The sequence below is a fragment of the Homo sapiens genome, chromosome 5 (assembly GCF_000001405.40).
Source record: "Homo sapiens chromosome 5, GRCh38.p14 Primary Assembly".
Taxonomy (NCBI): domain Eukaryota; kingdom Metazoa; phylum Chordata; class Mammalia; order Primates; family Hominidae; genus Homo; species Homo sapiens.
Genome location: NC_000005.10, coordinates 119,282,827 through 119,302,924, shown reverse-complemented (window position 1 = coordinate 119,302,924; position 20,098 = coordinate 119,282,827). Strand labels below are relative to the sequence as shown.

Genomic DNA, 20,098 nt, shown 5'->3' with positions numbered 1-20,098 from the left:
CGCAATAATGTCTCCACTCAGGAATGGGAAATCTCAATTAGGAAGCATCTCTCCTTCAACAATGATGCAAAATTAGGGCAGAGAGAAAGCCCAGGAATATATAAAAAGCATTCTCCTTTTCATCTCAGCATATGATAAGAGAGTTTGCTGTTTGGTGTTTTTGCTTGTTTTGGCAGGTGAACGATCTTAGGTCATAAGCTTTAAGTGTTAATTATGAATGGAAATTAACGCACTGATCCAGCTAACCTAATGAAAAGATGATGGTCAAGTGAGCAACACCCTCCAGATGAGCTCACGAAATGTCCACTGAAAGACTGTGGGGTAAAAGGAGTGGCAGAAGATGATGTTATTCAATATGATAAAGGTGAATAATTTGACAGTTCAGCAGAGCCAATTCTCAAGAGAAAAATAAATCATTTTCAAAACATCCTTCCCAAAGACAGGTGAATTTTTACTTTTACATTTACCCAGTGACTAGCTGAAAACATACTAGAAGCAGAGGAGAAAATGGGATTCTAGCAGGAAACATACTAAAAATAGAGGAGAAAAAAACTATTTAGTGTTCTCTAGAAATCATTTTCTCTAATAAAAGGATGTCCATATTTCTGGATTCTCTCTCTTGGAATGTAAGTTTCTTGAGGTTGTCACCCTTGAGAGCACAGATCTTCTATCTCATAAAGTACCAGTGAGCAGTTACAGGGAAGCTATACCTTAAAACCAAATTCAACAGGTGGTTTGAAGGTCAAGTTCAATGCACTGGCCAGTTAGCCTGACCCCAACTAGGACAACTAAATAATGGTCCTATGATTCAAAATATCTGGTGAGTGAATAACCAACTCCTCCCTTATTTGCTAAGAGATGGGGACTGAAACAACTAAAACTATTTCAGAGCATGACAGGACCTTGGAAATTATGTAATCAAAGTGGTACCTTCATTCCTGAAGATAAACTAGAAAATTCTTAGGAACATCTGTTTCACACCTCTCTAGTTCCTAGACTTTCATTTCTCCCATATCTTCCCCAATACAAAAAAGTTAAATGAGATCTTGGAGTAGGGAAGGTATAGTGGGAATATCCTCAGTATCTGGGTTGGCACTTGGAATATATTTTATCCTAAGAAATAGGACTGCGTTTCTGGTCCACTACAAATATGTGCCTTAATACTTCCAGGTTGATTCCTGGTTGTTTTTTTCACATAAAGATGACTTGTTAAATGTATTTTTATTTTCTATCTTTAAGATTGTTCATTTCAAAAATCATAAATCACAGTTCTACAAAAAAGTTAATTCCACCCATATTCCCTGAGGGCCTACCTCGTGCTAGACTCAGACCTGAGTAATGAGATACAGATGGGACTCCAATGTCTCCAGCCTGAAGGAGCTATGGCATATAAATAATGGCAAAACCACATATAATCAAGGTGTGCAGAAAGTGTCATGAAAACCCAGGGAAAGAAGCAGCTGCTGCTGCTGAGAGAGGACTGGAGAAGGCTTCCCATAGGAGATGATTTTTTTTTATTTGGGGCTTTGAAGACTGAATAGGATCTGGCCAGTAAAGAAGGCGGACAAGGGAATTATAGTCACTGGGAACAAGCCAACTGACAGAGGGGTAAGAATTGTGGAATATTCTAGATGGCATAAGCATAGAGTGCCCAATGGGGAACAATAGAAGGGAGGATAGAAAAACAGCATGAAGGAAGACATGAAGAGCTCTGAACACCAAACTACGAAGCTCAGATTTTAATCTGTAGGAACGTAAGGCCATTTCATTGAGGGTTTTTACATAAGAAGTAATGCAACTGGGTGGCAAGTCCAGGAATGGACCGGAAGCTGGGAGACTGGTTAGGAGACTTATGATAATCTTGCCAATGAATAAGGATCTGAATTCTGAATTGCAAACAACTGTTTCCACTACCTTCAAATCAAAGCTTGGGGCCCACTTGTAATGCTTTTAGTGTGAGGCACCCTAAAACTGTGCCTCGGAGATGGTCACTGCCTTTAACTCCCATCTGCACCTGCAATTCTTCCCTCTAGGAAAATATCACCTCCTCTTTCTCACCTACCTCACATAGATTCCATAAAGAAAGCATAACACATAGGTTAAACTGAAATTTGTGGGGAAAAGGCTTTTAATGAAAAATATGTTCCAATGCAACCATAAAGGGGTAACAGCATAGCCTGTAGAGTCAAGCAGAGCCAGCACTAACAGTGACTAGCTGCTGGATCTCAGGCAAGTTATTCAGTTTCTCTGTGCCTCAACCCTCCTCATTGCAAAACGGGAACAAAAAACTACCTTTTTAAGAATGTTAATTATGAGACTGGAAAACAGATCCTTAGAGAAGTACATAGTAAGCAAGAAAAAATGGTAACTATCACTCTTTTATATGCTTTGATAATAGACTGAGTCAGGAATGCAATATCGTTTCTAAGTTGCAAGGACATGCAAAAAAATTCCATTACTCAGTGCTTTTACAAATAACATTTGTTTTAGATGGTCTACTTTTTAAAGATTGAAGATTCTCCTGTAAAGCAGTAAAGCTCATTGTAATTTTACCCTTTCTAAAATGTACCACACTTAAAGAGAATACGCTGAACCAAATTTAACCTTCTTTCTGAGGATGTGATTACCATGATTTTCTCAAGTTCCTGCTAAGAAGGTACTGGGGGTGGCAGCCAAGATGGCTGATTAGGAACAGCTCCAGTCTACAGCTCCCGGCGTGAGCGACACAGAAGACAGGTGATTTCTGCATTTCCATCTGAGGTACCAGGTTCATCTCATTAGGGAGTGCCAGATAGTGGGCACAGGACAGTGGGTGCAGCGCACCGTGCGCGAGCCGAAGCAGGGCAAGGCATTGCCTCACTCGGGAAGCACAAGGGGTCAGGGAGTTCCCCTTCCTAGGCAAAGAAAGGGGTGACAGACGGCACCTGGAAAATCGGGTCACTCCCACGCTAATACTGCGCTTTTCCGACGGGCCTAAAAAACGGTGCACCAAGAGATTATAACCCGCACCTGACTCAGAGGGTCCTACGCCCACGGAGTCTTGCTGATTGCTAGCACAGCAGTCTGAGATCAAACTGCAAGGCAGCAGCGAGGCTGGGGGAAGGGCGCCCGCCATTTCCCAGGCTTGCTTAGGTAAACAAAGCAGCCAGGAAGCTCGAACTGGGTGGAGCCCACCACAGCTCAAGGAGGCCTGCCTGCCTCTGTAGACTCCACCTCTGGGGGCAGGGCACAACAAACAAAAAGACAGCAGTAACCTCTGCAGACTTAAAAGTCCCTGTCTGACAGCTTTGAAGAGAGCAGTGGTTCTCCCAGCACACAGCTGGAGATCTGAGAACGGACAGACTGCCTCCTCACGAGGGTCCCTGACCCCTGACCCCCAAGCAGCCTAACTGGGAGGCACCCCCCAGTAGAGGCAGACTGACACCTCACACGGCCGGGTACTCCTCTGAGACAAAACTTCCAGAGGAACGATCAGACAGCAGCATTCGCGGTTCACGAAAATCCACTGTTCTGCAGCCACCGCTGCTGATACCCAGGCAAACTGGGTCTGGAGTGGACCTCTAGCAAACTCCAACAGACCTGCAGCTGAGGGTCCTGACTGTTAGAAGGAAAACTAACAAACAGAAAGGACATCCACACCAAAAACCCATCTGTACATCACCATCATCAAAGACCAAAAGTAGATAAAACCACAAAGATGGGGAAAAAACAGAGCAGAAAAACTGGAAACTCTAAAAAGCAGAGCGCCTCTCCTCCTCCAAAGGAATGCAGTTCCTCACCAGGAACGGAACAAAGCTGGATGGAGAATGACTTTGATGAGTTGAGAGAAGAAAGCTTCAGACCATCAAACTCCTCTGAGCTACAGGAGGAAATTCAAACCAAAGGCAAAGAAGTTAAAAACTTTGAAAAAAATTTAGAAGAATGTATAACTAGAATAACCAATACAGAGAAGTGCTTAAAGGAGCTGATGGAGCTGAAAGCCAAGGCTTGAGAACTACATGAAGAATGCAGAAGCCTCAGGAGCCGATGAGATCAACTGGAAGAAAGGGTATCAGTGATGGAAGATGAAATGAATGAAATGAAGTGAGAAGGGAAGTTTAGAGAAAAAAGAATAAAAAGAAACGAACAAAGCCTCTAAGAAATATGGGACTATGTGAAAAGACCAAATCTATGTCAGATTGGTGTACCTGAAAGTGACGGGGAGAATGGAACCTAGTTGGAAAACACTCTGCAGGATAGTATCCAGGAGAACTTCCCCAATCCAGCAAGGCAGGCCAACATTCAGATTCAGGAAATACAGAGAATGCCACAAAGATACTCCTCGAGAAGAGCAACTCCAAGACACATAATTGTCAGATTCACCAAAGTTGAAATGAAGGAAAAAATGTTAAGGGCAGCCAGAGAGAAAGGTCGGGTTACCCACAAAGGGAAGCCCATCAGACTAACAGCTGATCTCTCGGCAGAAACTCTACAAGCCAGAAGAGAGTGGGGGCCAATATTCAACATTCTTAAAGAAAAGAATTTTCAACCCAGAATTTCATATCCAGCCCAACTAAGCTTCATAAGTGAAGGAGAAATAAAATCCTTTACAGACAAGCAAATGCTGAGAGATTTTGTCACCACCAGGCCTGCCCTAAAAGAGCTCCTGAAGGAAGCACTAAACATGGAAAGGAACAACCGGTACCAGCCACTGCAAAATCATGCCAAATTGTAAAGACCATCGAGGCTAGGAAGAAACTGCATCAACTAACGAGCAAAATAACCAGCTAACATCATAATGACAGGATCAAATTCACATATAACAATATTAATCGTAAATGTAAATGGACTAAATGCTCCAATTAAAAGACACAGACTGGCAAATTGGATAAAGAGTCAAGACCCATCAGTGTGCTGTATTCAGGAAATGCATCTCATGTGCAGAGACACACATAGGCTCAAAATAAAAGGATGGAGGAAGATCTACCAAGCAAATGGAAAACAAAAAAAGGCAGGGGTTGCAATCCTAGTCTCTGATAAAACAGACTTTAAACCAACAAAGATCAAAAGAGACAAAGAAGGCCATTACACAATGGTAAAGGGATCAATTCAACAAGAAGAGCTAACTATCCTAAATATATATGTGCCCAATACAGGAGCACCCACATTCATAAAGCAAGTCCTGAGTGACCTACAAAGAGACTTAGACTCCCACACAATAATAATGGGAGACTTTAACACCCAACTGTCAACATTAGACAGATCAACAAGACAGAAAGTTAACAAGGATACCCAGGAATTGAACTCAGCTCTGCACCAAGCGGACCTAATAGACATCTACAGAACTCTCCACCCTGAATCAACAGAATATACATTTTTTTCAGCACCACACCACACCTATTCCAAAATTGACCACATAGTTGGAAGTAAAGCTCTCCTCAGCAAATGTAAAAGAACAGAAATTATAACAAACTGTCTCTCAGACCACACTGCAATCAAACTAGAACTCAGGATTAAGAAACTCACTCAAAACCGCTCAACTACATGGAAACTGAACAACCTGCTCCTGAATGACTACTGGGTACATAACAAAATGAAGGCAGAAATAAAGATGTTCTTTGAAACCAACGAGAACAAAGACACAACATACCAGAATCTCTGGGACACTTTCAAAGCAGTGTGTAGAGGGAAATTTATAGCACTAAATGCCCACAAGAGAAAGCAGGAAAGATCCAAAATTGCCACCCTAACATCACAATTAAAAGAACTAGAAAAGCAAGAGCAAACACATTCAAAAGCTAGCAGAAGGCAAGACATAACTAAAATCAGAGCAGAACTGAAGGAAACAGAGACACATGAATCCAGGAGCTGGTTTTCTGAAAGGATCAACAAAATTGATAGACTGCTAGCAAGACTAATAAAGAAAAAAAGAGAGAAGAATCAAATAGACGCAATAAAAAATGATAAAGGGGATATCACCACCGATCCCACAGAAATACAAACTACCATCAGAGAATACTACAAACACCTCTACGCAAATAAACTAGAAAATCTAGAAGAAATGGATAAATTCCTCAACACATACACCCTCCCAAGACTAAACCAGGAAGAAGTTGAATCTCTGAATAGACCAATAACAGGCTCTGAAATTGTGGCAATAATCAATAGCTTACCAACCAAAAAGAGTCCAGGACCAGATGGATTCACAGCCGAATTCTACCAGAGGTACAAGGAGGAACTGGTACCATTCCTTCTGAAGCTATTCCAATCAATAGAAAAAGAGGGAATCCTCCCTAATTCGTTTTATGAGGCCAGCATCATCCTGATACCAAAGCCGGGCACAGGCACAACCAAAAAAGAGAATTTTAGACCAATATCCTTGATGAACATTGATGCAAAAATCCTCAATAAAATACTGGCAAACCAAATCCAACAGCACATCAAAAAGCTTATCCACCAAGATCAAGTGGGCTTCATCCCTGGGATGAAAGCCTGGTTCAATATAGGCAAATCAATAAATGTAATCCAGCATATAAACAGAACCAAAGACAAAAACCACATGATTATCTCAATAGATGCAGAAAAGGCCTTTGACAAAATTCAACAATGCTTCATGCTAAAAACTCTCAATAAATTAGGTATTGATGGGACGTAACTCAAATAATAAGAGCTATCTATGAAAAACCCACAGCCAATATCATACTGAATGGGCAAAAACTGGAAGCTTTCCCTTTGAAAACTGGCACAAGACAGGGATGCCCTCTCTCACCACTCCTATTCAACATAGTGTTGGAAGTTCTGGCCAGGGCAATTAGGCAGGAGAAGGAAATAAAGGGTATTCAATTAGGAAAAGAGGAAGTCAAATTGTCCCTGTTTGCAGATGACATGATTGTATATCTAGAAAACCCCATTGTCTCAGCCCAAAATCTCCTTAAGCTGATAAGCAACTTCAGCAAAGTCTCAGGATACAAAATCAATGTACAAAAATCACAAGCATTCTTATACACCAACAACAGACAGAGAGCCAAATCATGAGTGAACTCCCATTCACAATTGCTTCAAAGAGAATAAAATACCTAGGAATCCAACTTACAAGGGACGTGAAGGACCTCTTCAAGGAGAACTACAAACCACTGCTAAATGAAATAAAAGAGGATACAAACAAATGGAAGAACATTCCATGTTCATGGGTAGGAAGAATCAACATCGTGAAAATGGCCATACTGCCCAAGGTAATTTATAGATTCAATGCCATCCCCATCAAGCTAGCAATGACTTTCTTCACAGAATTGGAAAAAACTACTTTAAAGTTCATATGGAACCAAAAAAGAGCCCGCATAGCCAAGTCAATCCTAAGCCAAAAGAACAAAGCTGGAGACATCACGCTACCTGACTTCAAACTATACTACAAGGCTACAGTAACCAAAACAGCATGGTACTGGTACCAAAACAGAGATATAGATCAACAGAACAGAACAGAGCCCTCAGAAATAACGCCGCATATCTACAACTATCTGATCTTTGACAAACCTGAGATAAACAAGCAATGGGGAAAGGATTCCCTATTTAATAAATGGTGCTGGGAAAACTGGCTAGCCATATGTAGAAAGCTGAAACTGGATCCCTTCCTTACACCTTATACAAAAATTAATTCAAGATGGATTAAACGTTAGACCTATAGGTCTAACGTTAGACTAAACGTTAGACCTATAGGTCTAACGTTAGACTAAACGTTAGACCTATAGGTCTAACGTTAGACTAAACGTTAGACCTAAAACCATAAAATCCCTAGAAGAAAACCTAGGCATTACCATTGAGGACATAGGCACGGGCAAGGACTTCATGTCTAAAACACCAAAAGCAATGGCAACAAAATTCAAAATTGACAAATGGGATCTAATTAAAGTAAAGAGCTTCTGCACAGCAAAAGAAACTACCATTAGAGTGAACAGGCAACCTACAGAATGGGAGAAAATTTTCGCAACCTACTCATCTGACAAAGGGCTAATATCCAGAATCTACAATGAACTCAAACAAATTTACAAGAGAAAAACAATCAACCCCATCAAAAAGTGGGCAAAGGACATGAACAGACACTTCTCAAAAGAAGACATTTATGCAGCCAAAAGACACATGAAAAAATGCTCACCATCACTGGCCATCAGAGAAACGCAAATCAAAACCACAATGAGATACCATCTCACACCAGTTAGAATGGCAATCATTAAAAAGTCAGGAAACAACAGGTGCTGGAGAGGATGTGGAGAGGATGTGGAGTCCCACTGTTGGTGGGACTGTAAACTAGTTCTACCATTGTGGAAGTCAGTGTGGAGATGCCTCAGATCTAGATCTAGAAATACCATTTGACCCAGCCATCCATTACTGGGTATATACCCAAAGGACTATAAATCATGCTGCTATAAAGACACATGCACACGTATGTTTATTGCGGCACTATTCAGAATAGCAAAGACTTGGAACCAACCCAAATGTCCAACAATGATAGACTGGATTAAGAAAATGTGGCACATATACACCAGGGAATACTATGCAGCCATAAAAAATGATGAGTTCATGTTCTTTGTAGGGACATGGATGAAATTGGAAATCATCATTCTCAGTAAACTATGGCAAGGACAAAAAACCAAACACCGCATGTTCTCACTCATAGGTGGGAATTGAACAATGAGAACACATGGACACGGGAAGGGGAACATCACACTCTGGGGACTGTTGTGGGTTGGGGGGAGGGGGGAGGGATAGCATTAGGAGATATACCTAATGCTAAATGACGAGTTAATGGGTGCAGCGCACCAGCATGGCACATGTATACATATGTAACTAACCTGCACACTGTGCACATGTACCCTAAAACTTAAAGTATAATAAAATTTAAAAAAAAGAAAAAAAAGAAGGTATTGGGAAGAGCTAACACGTTAAAAGTGAATTGATATACTATGGATTTGGTTCCAATGAAGGTAAAATTATGTCCCAAGAGTGCCTAGAACATCCACCACTGTAAAGCGCTGCAAGTGTTATCTGACATCCATACAATAACATGCATGTGACTGCCCTTTTAAAAACTTTTTATTATTCAAATTTTCAAGCATTCATGAAAGTAGAAAGAGTATAATAAACTCTCATCTGTAACCCACCTTCAACAATAACCAGTATTTTGCCAATCTTGTTTCATTTGTACCTCTCTACCCCTTGACTCTTCTTTTGTTACCATTTTTCCCCATAGCCTTATTGAGATATAATTTATCATTGTAAGTGTACAATTAAATGATTTTTAGTAAATGTATACAGTTGCGTAACCATTACCACAATCCAATTTTTAGAACATTTCCTCATCCGGAATAAATAGTGACAATATAGTACACATACACAATGGAATACTGTTCAGCCTTAAAAAAGAAGAAATCCTGTCATTTATGACAACATGGATGAACCTGGAGAACATTATATTAAGTGAAATAAGCCAGGCACAGAAAGACAAACACCACATGATCTCACTCGTATGTGTAGTAAAAAAGCTGAACTCAGAAATGAGTAAAATGGAGGTGACTAGAGGTTGAAGGTTGGGGGATGGGGAGATGTTGCTCAAAAGACATAAAATTTCAATTAGACAGGAGGAACAAGTTCAAAAGGATCTACTGTACATCACAGTAGCAGCAGTTAATAACAATCTATTGTACATTTGAAAACTACTAGAAGAGTAGATTTTTCAGTATTGGCACCACATATGAAAAAAAAGGGATGTGACGTAATGCATGTGTTAAATGGCTTGATTTAGCCATTCCACAACATGCATATATATCAAAAATCATGTTGTACACACATGTATATACAGTTTTTAGTTGTCAATTAAAGTAAAATTTAAAAACAAAATTAAAAAGGACTCCTGCCATTGGTGACAACACAGATGAACCTGGAATAATGCTAAGTGAAATAAAAGTCAGACAGATAAAGATAAATACTATTTTTTTAAAAAAAAGAAGAAGAACATTTCATCATCCCACAGCAGCCATTTTTAGTTAATTCCCATTCTTACTTCAGCCTCAGGCAGCCACTAATCACTTGCTGTTTACAGATTCGCCTTTTCCAGGCATTTCACATGAACAGAACCACACAGTATGTAGCCTTTTGCATCTGGTTTATCTTACCTGGCACAATGTTTTTGAGATTCACCCATGCTGTAGCAGGTACAGTACTTTGTTCTTTTTTATTGCTAAATAGTATTTCATTGTGTGTGTGTGTATATATATATATATATATATATATATATATATATATATATGCTACATTGATTATTCATTCACTAATTGGTGGATATTTGAGCTGTTTCCAGTTTTTGGCTCTTATGTATAATCTTCTATTAACACTTGCTTATAAGTATTTGTATGGACATGTTTTCATTTTTTGGGGTAGACATCTGGAAGTAGACTTGCTGGGTTTTGTACTGTCTTTTACCCAACAGAATAACAAAATACCATATGATATAATGTTTTATTTAATAAATAAGGAAATGAAAAGTCCAAAGACATTAACTAATTTCCTCATACTCACAGTTCATTGGTGACAGAGAAAGAATTCAAACCCAGTACGGCCCATTCTTCTTTTTTTCTTCTTTTCTAATCAGTTTCATTCCTGCTCCTCCCAGAAACACTCCTCCTGGAGCCCTCCTCCTTCAGCTCTATTCTAGATGGGCTCTTCTCCTTGGGCCAGAGCTGCAATAGGGAACTTCCCTTCTCAAGTCCTTCTGGGGCTCCCCTTTACCTCCTGCAGACTTTCCCACCCCTACTCCCATCCTAAAGCCTCTGCTTCACCTATGCCTCTGGGGAACTGGGGAACTCTCATTTCTGAGCCTTCCTGGCATTCTGTGAGCAAATCAATCGCTTCCGGTCCTCTCCCGGTGAGCCCTGCAGGCATTTTATTCTTGACTTCACTTCTCCTCTCTGCAAATGCATTTGCCATCACTTCATCTGCTTTCTATCTTTAGGTCCTGTATGGGTCAGGGTTACAGATGTCTCCAAGGTTTATAAGGATACAGTCTGCATTCCTGATTTTCATTCTTTTAGTTTGAGGGAGATTTTCAAGAGACAAAAGCAAAAATGTCTTTGCTAGTTTGAAAGAAGAAATCTCCAACTTTCTTGAAACTATCTCTTGAGTGAAATACTTACCCGGGCAACGAAAATACAAGGACAATGAATGACTATTCCATTCAAACTAAGGGGCATAAGAGGGAAAAAACTCTGCCCCAAATCCTAAAAAGGAATTTTATCCCATAAACATATGCATGAAAGAGGCTGCCTTTCACTATTCAAAGATGAAAGCAGCCCTTCCTGCACTCCGTGGCTGGTACTGCCTCATTAGTTTAACTTACGCAAAATAAGAACACTCTTTGAAGCTAAAAATAATCCATGAGTTTTTAAAAATAAAATTATTATTCCAAATTTCCTAAAAATGTTATGGCAAATGCCAAGCACGCAGAACTGATTCTGAACACTTTTTTCCACTTACGTAAATCGAATCCACTGCAATTGCTCCCTCTTTTGAAAAATGCTTAACTGTAAATTATGCATGACAGGCCGAAAACAGTGGCTGTACACACATGTAGCAATTGGCTGCTATTATCCAAGCAGCTAGCAGGTAGTTATTGGGCACCCAGTGTGCTAGATACAGCAGGGGAAATAGAAACAGATAAAGACATGGCCCTATAGCCCTTGCTATCTACTTGTGATAACAAGATAAATACACGAAAAGTTAAATAGTACAAGGTAGTATGTGATCAAGGGACATGGGCAAAAGTGTTACACAATTTTAGAAATTAGAGAGCTGACTACCTGGATAATACTGGAAACAAACGAGAAGGGCACCAAAACCCTAAAGGTCATACACAAACTAAAGCTAAAATATGCCAATGATTATGTCAGTTGCCTGCTCAAAAACCTTCAAAGACCCATCACTAATAATCAAAGAAAGTCCAAACTCCTTAGCTTGGCATGCAAGACCCTACAGGCCCTGACCCCTTCCTACCTGACCAGGCTTTACTCCAGCCACACTGCTCCATTAATGTCCCTTGAACACACTGACACCAGCTGCTGTCCGCCCTGCTTTGCTCCTGATGCCCTATCTCAGCCAACACCCTTTCCCTCAACCTCAGCTACTGAAAATCCATCAATTTTACATTCTGCCTCCTTCCTTTGAGGCATCCCAACACTTCTTTCCATTATTATGCAGATCTTCGCCTCTTCATACAGCCAGTCTCCAAGATGCCCCCAATGATTCCCACCTCCTGATATTCATTCTTTTGTGTAATCCCCTCCCATATGACCTGTGTAACCAATAAGTCACACACCAACAGCAATGGAGATCAAGCAAAGCTTGATCATAGGAGACATCTGAGGCTTCCACCTTATGTTCCCTTGGATCACTCACTCTAAGAAGAGTCATCCACCATGTCATGAGGACACTCCAATAAACCTGTGAAGAGGTTTACATATTGAGGAAGTGAGATTTCCTGCCTAGAGCGACTACCACTTGCCAGCTGCATAAGTGAACCAGCTTAGAACTGGATTCTCCAGCCGCAGAGAATGTTCAGATATCTGTTGACCTGGCCAGCTCACCGACTACAATCCTATGGGAGACCTCAAGCCAGAACCAACCAGCTAAGTAGCTCTCAAATTCCTGACCCACAGAAAGTGTATGTAACCATAAATGTTTTTTGTTGTTTTTAGCTACTAAGTTTTAGTAATCTGTTATGCAGCAACAGACAACTACTACACTTCACTTATGTATGCTGTATTGCATTCCAATTATTTCTGTCCTAACATTTTTCTTACAACTAGATTAATAAGTCCTAGAGGGCAGAGAATTTCTTTCTTTAACATTTTTCAACTCTGCATGCTTTAGTAAGACATTTAGTAATCATTAGTTGACTGAATGATGAGAGAATTTTTAAACTTAATGAAATCGTTGGTGAAGCTGTGTCTTGGACTGACTTCATAATGGTTTTGAATGATTTTGTAATTTATTTTTAACTTTAAGGACTTAGTAGTGTGAAAGTAGTAACAGCTGGCAGCCTGAATTCTGATCCCAGCCCTGGCTTTTAGAAAATACTGCCAAAAATATAGAGAGATCTCGCCTCACTTCTACCTCGGACTTTTCTCCCACTCTGGCTTTCCTAACTTATCCCAGGGCAAGAGCAGCTTCAAAGTGTCAGAGGTGGTAAATGGGCATTGGAGCAAGGCAAGAATTAGTGATGGGAACAGGAGGAAGAGGCTGGCAATAATAAACAGCAGCCATGTACAGGATTTGGTGTCAGTCAGCCATGTCTAAGCAGCTTGAACCTGGTAGAATCCCCTTGTGCCAGGCACCCTGCCTCAGCCCCAGAAACTGATAGCATTTCATAAGTTTTTATTTGACAAGATTTCTTCTGAATTCTCCAATCTTTAAAAGAGGTTTCCAGCCCAATACAGGTCTTCTCTTGAAGTTATGGCTAAGTACAGCCTAGCACAGTCCTTCTCTTACAAACCTAACAGTCCTCTTAGGTCTTCTTGGGATCCAGTGAAACTGCTCTGGGTGACTAGTAAGACCGAATGCCTCTCTTTAAGTCATAAATAAAAACAGAAACAAACCTGGACCAATCTTTTGGCAGTTCTTTCACAAATAAAACCACAGATACCACACAAAGATACACACTATTGGGAACACAAGTCTGATAAGTATCCCTTTGCGAAATTATAGGAGATTTGATTGTATACAATAAGTATAGTAAGGTGTGATCATGATATAAAATACACTAATTCCTAACAGGTAAGCTGGCCCAGCAGGTAAATTTACTTTGAATCAACATTTGTATTAATGACTCTGCATGATGAAAGAAATAGCAAAATAATTAAGAACCTCCATAAAAGAAAGCTACAAAACCGTGCTAGGAAGCAGTTGGTTCTCACTGTAAAAAGGAGTGAATGTGGCTTTAAGCCAACAAAAGGAGCACAAATCTAGACAATTTAGCCTAGGGCCAAAGCAAGATTCATTCCAAGAATGAGTAGTAAGTGCTTGTTATAATTCTGTGCAGTTTAATTTTAAATGCCCTTCTCTCTCTTTGGAGACTACATCCACAAACTTCAAAGAGATTCTGGTATTTAGTCTAATTCTTTCCATATGTTAAACACACCTCATTGCCTATAGGCACCAGTCAGATTAGTTTCTTCTGAAAAAAGAGGTTAGAGATTGATCCTTCTATGTAAAATTATTTCATCCTATTAGTGTTAGGGACCTGAAATTTATTAGCAAACAACTTGGGGTTAGTTATACAAGCCTGTTGATAAGGAAAGGCTGCCTTCCAGCTGTTCCCAACAGCTTTTCTAAATAAAGAGCCATTGCTTGAGCAAAACTCTGTCTAATCTCTTAAAGATGTGTATTTAATTAAAGAAAACTTTTTTCCAGTGGCTCAAGACCTTAATCCCATTGATTGTGCTGCAAACATCAATCAAATCATTTGTTAATGTTTTTGCTCCAGTAAAATTTAGCAACATCAGAATAAGACCGTGCCTTTTAGGAATAGATGATGCTGACATTCCCTCAAGGTACACCTTTGTTTCACACTCTCCATTTCTCTCTCAGGAAAGGCAACAATCAACTGAACTCCAATTGTTTCATTTAGAAACATATCAAGTGTCCATAAAAACATGAAAAACTGTGTACAAAATAATGTTAAGAGGAAACAGAACATTAAACTGTGTATATTCTATGGTCACAGCTATATATAACCACAGATGAGGATGGAAAGGAATATGAGAAATGAAACAGATGTTTTCACACACACCTCTATAACCTTACTGTTTTTTCTTTATACATTTCCTTTACTTTTGCTGGGAGTTGTCTTAGTAATGGGGGTAGTATGTTTGCTTTTTAAATTATCAGGATAACATCTCACCTCATCAGACAAGAGCTTATGGGCCAATTACTCACGTACAAGGTGGTGACTGTCTAGACCAACTGAGATAAGATGCCTGCCTGGTCTCCTCCTAAAAATTCCTCAGGGTTAGTAAAGCCACAATTTTCAAGTTTAATCCCTGCATGGGGAAAGAAACTGTGTCTAGCCTGCTAAACAGAGTGGATTTCAAGGAAATGTTCTAATTTTTAGTTGAAACTAAAATAATCCCTTAAGTGAAAGTAAAAATGATATTTAGGCAAATCCTAAAAATGAAGTCATTCGTTAACACATATTTACTGAGAACACGGGCACAAAGATGAGTTCTAGAGATAACAAAACTGAGTTACTTCCTAGAAGCAGACAGCAGAACAGCAGCTGCCAGGGGCTGGGTTTGGAGGGTGGGGAATGGGGAGTTGTTGATACAAACCTTCAGTTATAAGATGAGTAAGTTCTGGAGATCTAATATACAGCACGGCGACTATAGTTAATAATTCTGTATTGTTTACTTGAAATTTACTAATAGAGCAGATTTTAAGTGTTCCCACCACACATACACACACACGGTAACTATGTGTGATGAAGGATGTGTTAATTAACTTGACTGTGGTAATCATTACACATCAAATCATCACATTCTACCCCTTGAATATATACAATTTTTATGTGTCAATTATATCTCAGTAAAGCTGGGGAAAAAAAGCAAAAAAAAAAAAAAAAAAAACTTGGTTACTGTCCCCTGGAAGCTATCCTAGTAAGGCACAGAAAGCTGCAAACTAAGGAGGAATGCTGTAAGTGATAGAATCAATATAAAGAAAGGAGACTAGAAAGAACTACACAAAACCTTAAGAGGAAGAGATGACTTCTGGACCAGAAAAGGTTTCCTGGAGGAGGCAGCATCTGAACTGGCTCCTAAAGGGTAGGCTAATGATGTCCAGGAAAGAGAAGCAATGGGCAGTGCAGGAAAGGGGCAATACAACCAGGCAAAGGAAGGGATGCTTGCGATGCGTTCTGGAACAATGCAGGGTTTAGAAATGGGAACCAAAGGAGACACTCAGAGGAGGAGTAGGCATCACATCTGGCCTTGGACATGGAGAGAAGGATGGGGCAAGCGAGCAAATATTGTCCTCTGGGCTCTGTGCATTTGTTGTTCTATTTAATCCTGACAACTTGTCTTGTAAGTGGGAAGACTGAGGCTAGAGGAAGTTGCATACAGTTTCACAGCATGCAGTTCACCTTTGTATTCCCGCACTAACACTGTGACTGGGGCATGGCAGAGCCACCACAAACATTGCCCAAATGCAAGATGACAAACTCACAGGGCAGGCCCATACCCTGTCTGCTCTGCCATGATGCTCTTTGGGACTTTTTTTTTTTTTTTTTGAGAGGGAGTCTTGCTCTGTCGCCCTGGCTGGAGCACAGGGGCTCATTCTTGGCTCTCTGCAAGCTCTGCCTCCCGGGTTCTCGCCATTCTCCTGCCTCAGCCTCCAGAGTAGCTGGAATTACAGGCGCCCGCCACTATGCCCAGATAATTTTTTTGCATTTTTAGTAGAGACGGGGTTTCACCGTGTTAGCCAGGATGGTCTCGATCTCCTGACCTCGTGATCCACCCACCTCGGCCTCCAAAAGTGCTGGGATTACAGGCGTGAGCCACCGTGCCAACCGGGACTTTTTTTTAATAGACACTAGGAGCCATTGACTATTCTGGGTTAGAGGAATCAATAACCAGAGATTTCTGTTTTGAGAAGAGGATAGTAAAGGCTGGGGAAGTGCAGTGAGGGAGTTACCCAACATTGGGAGCCTGAAGAGTTTCCAGACAATGCCCACCTTTTCTCAGCATGCACTTTTTACACAGATTTTTCTAAGGAAGTACTAGAATGCCTCAAAACCTGAACTGAAATCTAAATTCCCTCCTTTGCCAAATATATTTTTATTACACAATTTAAACACACAGACAGTATAAAATAAAAAGTTAAACTTTTTCTTTCAACTCATAGTTCTACTACTAACAGTATGTTGTTCATTCTTCTAAAAAAAAAGCGTATGTACTCATAAACTTACAATATGCCTTTTTACACATAATGAGATCAGTATTTTGTTTTTTAAGTTAATCTGTCTTGGAGATCTTTCCATATCAGTGCATAGAGACCAACCTTGTTCTAAAGCTGCACAGTGTTTCATCTCAAGGAAGCACCCTCATGTATGTAAGCAGCTGATGCATATTTAAGTGGTTTGAGTTTTTGTTTTGTTCATTCTTAAGAACAATGCTGTAATGAACGCTTTTTGTATCAAAATTAATTCACTTGTGGTCACTTGTATCAGCTTCTTGGATACTTTCACAGATAGGCTCTCTTGTGTAAAAGATAATTTAGCAAAGTTTCCTTGTATGTTAGTATAGTTAACAGTCACTTATCTTAGCAATGAGAGGGAACACAAATATAGCCTAAAAATAAATCTACTCACAAGATTATCTCAAGGCAACATTTTGTAGTTCTGGAGCCTCCTGGGAAGCCTCTGGGGCCAGAGTTCTTCCTGACTTCCCACCCAAAGCCACTTGTGCAGAATTCCTCATTCCACACTGGGGCAGTCAGCACTCCTTCCCACAGGGACCCAGGATACTACCCCTCTGGCTCTACCAGTAGCTTTGGACTCCCTGGTTCCCATGCTTAAAATGAGAATGAAAAGTACATGTGACAATTATCAGAATACAGAATTTTCACACTGAGGGATTAGAGATGATTTATAGTTGACAACTCACATTTCTTAGATATACCAATTATGGCCCAGAGGGGTTGAGCATCTCAGCAATATTATATACCCAGTCTGCTCGCCTGCTCGCCTCCTCCTGCTCGCCTGTCCAGAGCTTTTCCCATTACCTAGTACCAAATAATGGCTGCGTCCTTTGCTTAACTATTTCAAAAAGACCATGTAAGCAAAATTTCTCTATGATATTCCTCTGGGTATAAATGATGCTTTAAATTAGAAAAAAAAAGATTCTGACAACATATGGAGAGATGGCACAGATAGTAAGAAATTCAAAAACGTTATTTTTAGATAATTTTAACTTCTTTCTCCACCAAACTCACTACTAGAATGCCTAGCAAGTTTCAAAATTGGCACATTTAAGTTTCACCTCCCTTCTTCTTGTCCCTTATTGAGGTATTGTTAACAAGCAAATGCTAGTAACACTGCTGACTTGTTATCAGCAAGGCAGGTTGCTCTCAAGTTGTTTGCAGCCCTGACAATGGATTTATAAACCTGGGGCTACTCAGGCTGTGAGACTTAGAGTCATGTTTTTATGCTACAGAATTTTTTTTTTTTTTCTAGATGGAGCCTCGCTCTGTCACCCAGGCTGGAGTGCAGCGATGCAATCTTGGCTCACTGCAACCTCCTCATCCTGGGTTCAAGCGATTCTCCTGCCTCAGCCTCCCAAGGAGCTGGGACTACAGGCGTGCACCACCATGCCGGGCTAATTTTTGTATTTTTATTAGAGAGGGGGTTTTGCCATGTTGGTCAAGCTGGTCTTGAACTCCTGGCCTCAAGTGATCCACCCATCTCAGCCTCCCAAAGTGCTGGGATTATAGGTGCCTGGCCTAAATCAGGGATTTTTAAATAGCTCTGAGAAAAATCTGTTCAAAAGATTTTTTTTTTCTGTTGAAGAACTGTTCTACAATATTCAAGATCTCCATCCTGCAGCCTCTGGAACCCAGCTCTGTTACTGCCCTCCAGCAAGCCCCTGCAAGCTGGCTAGGTGGCATAGTTCCTGCAAGAGGAACTATGGCAATATGGTTAGAAACCACCGGATTTGAACATCAGATTGCCTCTGACCTTGGGTAACAACTTAAGTTCTTGCAGTCTGTTTTCCCATCTTTAAAATGGGGATAATAATGATAGAACTTATTTCAAACTGCCATTGAAGAATGTGGCAATGTACAGAGAGATCTTAGCACAGTGCCTGGCACATAGTAAGTGGTCAAAAACTACTCAGCCTTTACTGCCACACTTGGCACATACATGGGCTAACCAGAGGCAAAAGGCAAAAAGACAGGCAGCTGAGAACAGGCGAAGAACAAGTCTTCAGTATGACTTCTGCTGAATTAATAAAATGGAATAGAAACAGTTTTGTTTTGTTTTGTTTTTTTAACCCAAGTCCTTATTTGTCTCGAAGATTCTTAGGAGCAAAGAGTCATTTCCAGTACTGCTTCAATTGTGACCTGAAAAACTACACCTGGGAAGAAATTCACTAGGGCAGTCAGGCTCATGAGCTGCCTCCCACAGGCCCAGCCACAGCAGAGAAGAGCCCAACTCTACAACTCCTTACTTCAGGGCACTGACAAGGAACAGAAAAGGAGGGAGTAAGAGCAATTTCTCAAGTCACAGGCAGCTTTTCCATATCACCGACTCTCTTACAGCAAGCTCTCCCTGGTGTGACCAAGGCTAAGAGTTTCCCTTTTTCTTTATACCTGCAATAAGAGATCACCTAAGCATTCACATCCATCAGGGAAGAACCATTATTCCATTACTTTTTTTTAATTAATACAAACAGGGTCTTGCTATGTTGCCAGGCTGGTCTCAAACTCCTGGGCTCAAGGGATCCTTCCACCTCAGCCTCCAGAGTAGCTGGGACTTCAGGTTTGGGCCACTATGCCTAGCCTATCACTCCTTGATCATTTTCATCATTGTTTTTGTAGAATGAATGCTTTTAAAAGCTAAGTGTCATAAGATTGTTTTTTTCCTATTATTACATGTGATTGGGATCCTCAAGAGGATGAAAGAAAAAGTCGGAATGGCCCACAGGCCAGGACCTAACAGGGTGAGTGAACCAGGGCAAGAATGTCTTGCTGAACTAGTGCAGGTCATGAATAAAATAGGGCAGCCCAAGGTCATCACCACATGGTGAATGCTTTGAGAAGCAAGAGATACCAAAGTTCAGAGGTCACCAACTCACCTGTCTCTAGAAGCCAGGCAGATAAATGAAATGTATGACCGACCAGGAGGAACACAATAGGGAGCAGCAGAGTCTTTGGCCAAACTCGCACAAATGCCCCACTAAGTGAGATGAAAATTTTAAAAGCTGAACACAGTGTATAAGTTGAGCAAAATGCATCTGGGTCACATCTTGGCCAAGGGTCCCATTTTGTAGTGCCCTGCAAAAGGTTGTGATGGGCAAGAAATGAA

General features: G+C 40.6%; 1 protein-coding gene across 3 annotated transcripts in view, besides 3 other annotated features; it reads right to left on the bottom strand.

Moving 5' to 3' along the window:
* Positions 1 to 20,098, bottom strand: part of TNFAIP8 (TNF alpha induced protein 8) — a 130,930-nt gene that overhangs the window by 96,764 nt on the left and 14,068 nt on the right. The gene's annotated exons all lie outside the window — the stretch shown is intronic.
* Positions 12,341 to 12,530: an enhancer, noted in NCBI's record as "active region_22968". NCBI's record gives its function as "activates an Ori minimal core promoter by ATAC-STARR-seq in GM12878 lymphoblastoid cells {active_cell/tissue: GM12878}" and the evidence as "EXISTENCE:reporter gene assay evidence [ECO:0000049][PMID:35858748]".
* Positions 12,771 to 12,820: an enhancer, noted in NCBI's record as "active region_22967". NCBI's record gives its function as "activates an Ori minimal core promoter by ATAC-STARR-seq in GM12878 lymphoblastoid cells {active_cell/tissue: GM12878}" and the evidence as "EXISTENCE:reporter gene assay evidence [ECO:0000049][PMID:35858748]".
* Positions 13,279 to 13,518: an enhancer, noted in NCBI's record as "active region_22966". NCBI's record gives its function as "activates an Ori minimal core promoter by ATAC-STARR-seq in GM12878 lymphoblastoid cells {active_cell/tissue: GM12878}" and the evidence as "EXISTENCE:reporter gene assay evidence [ECO:0000049][PMID:35858748]".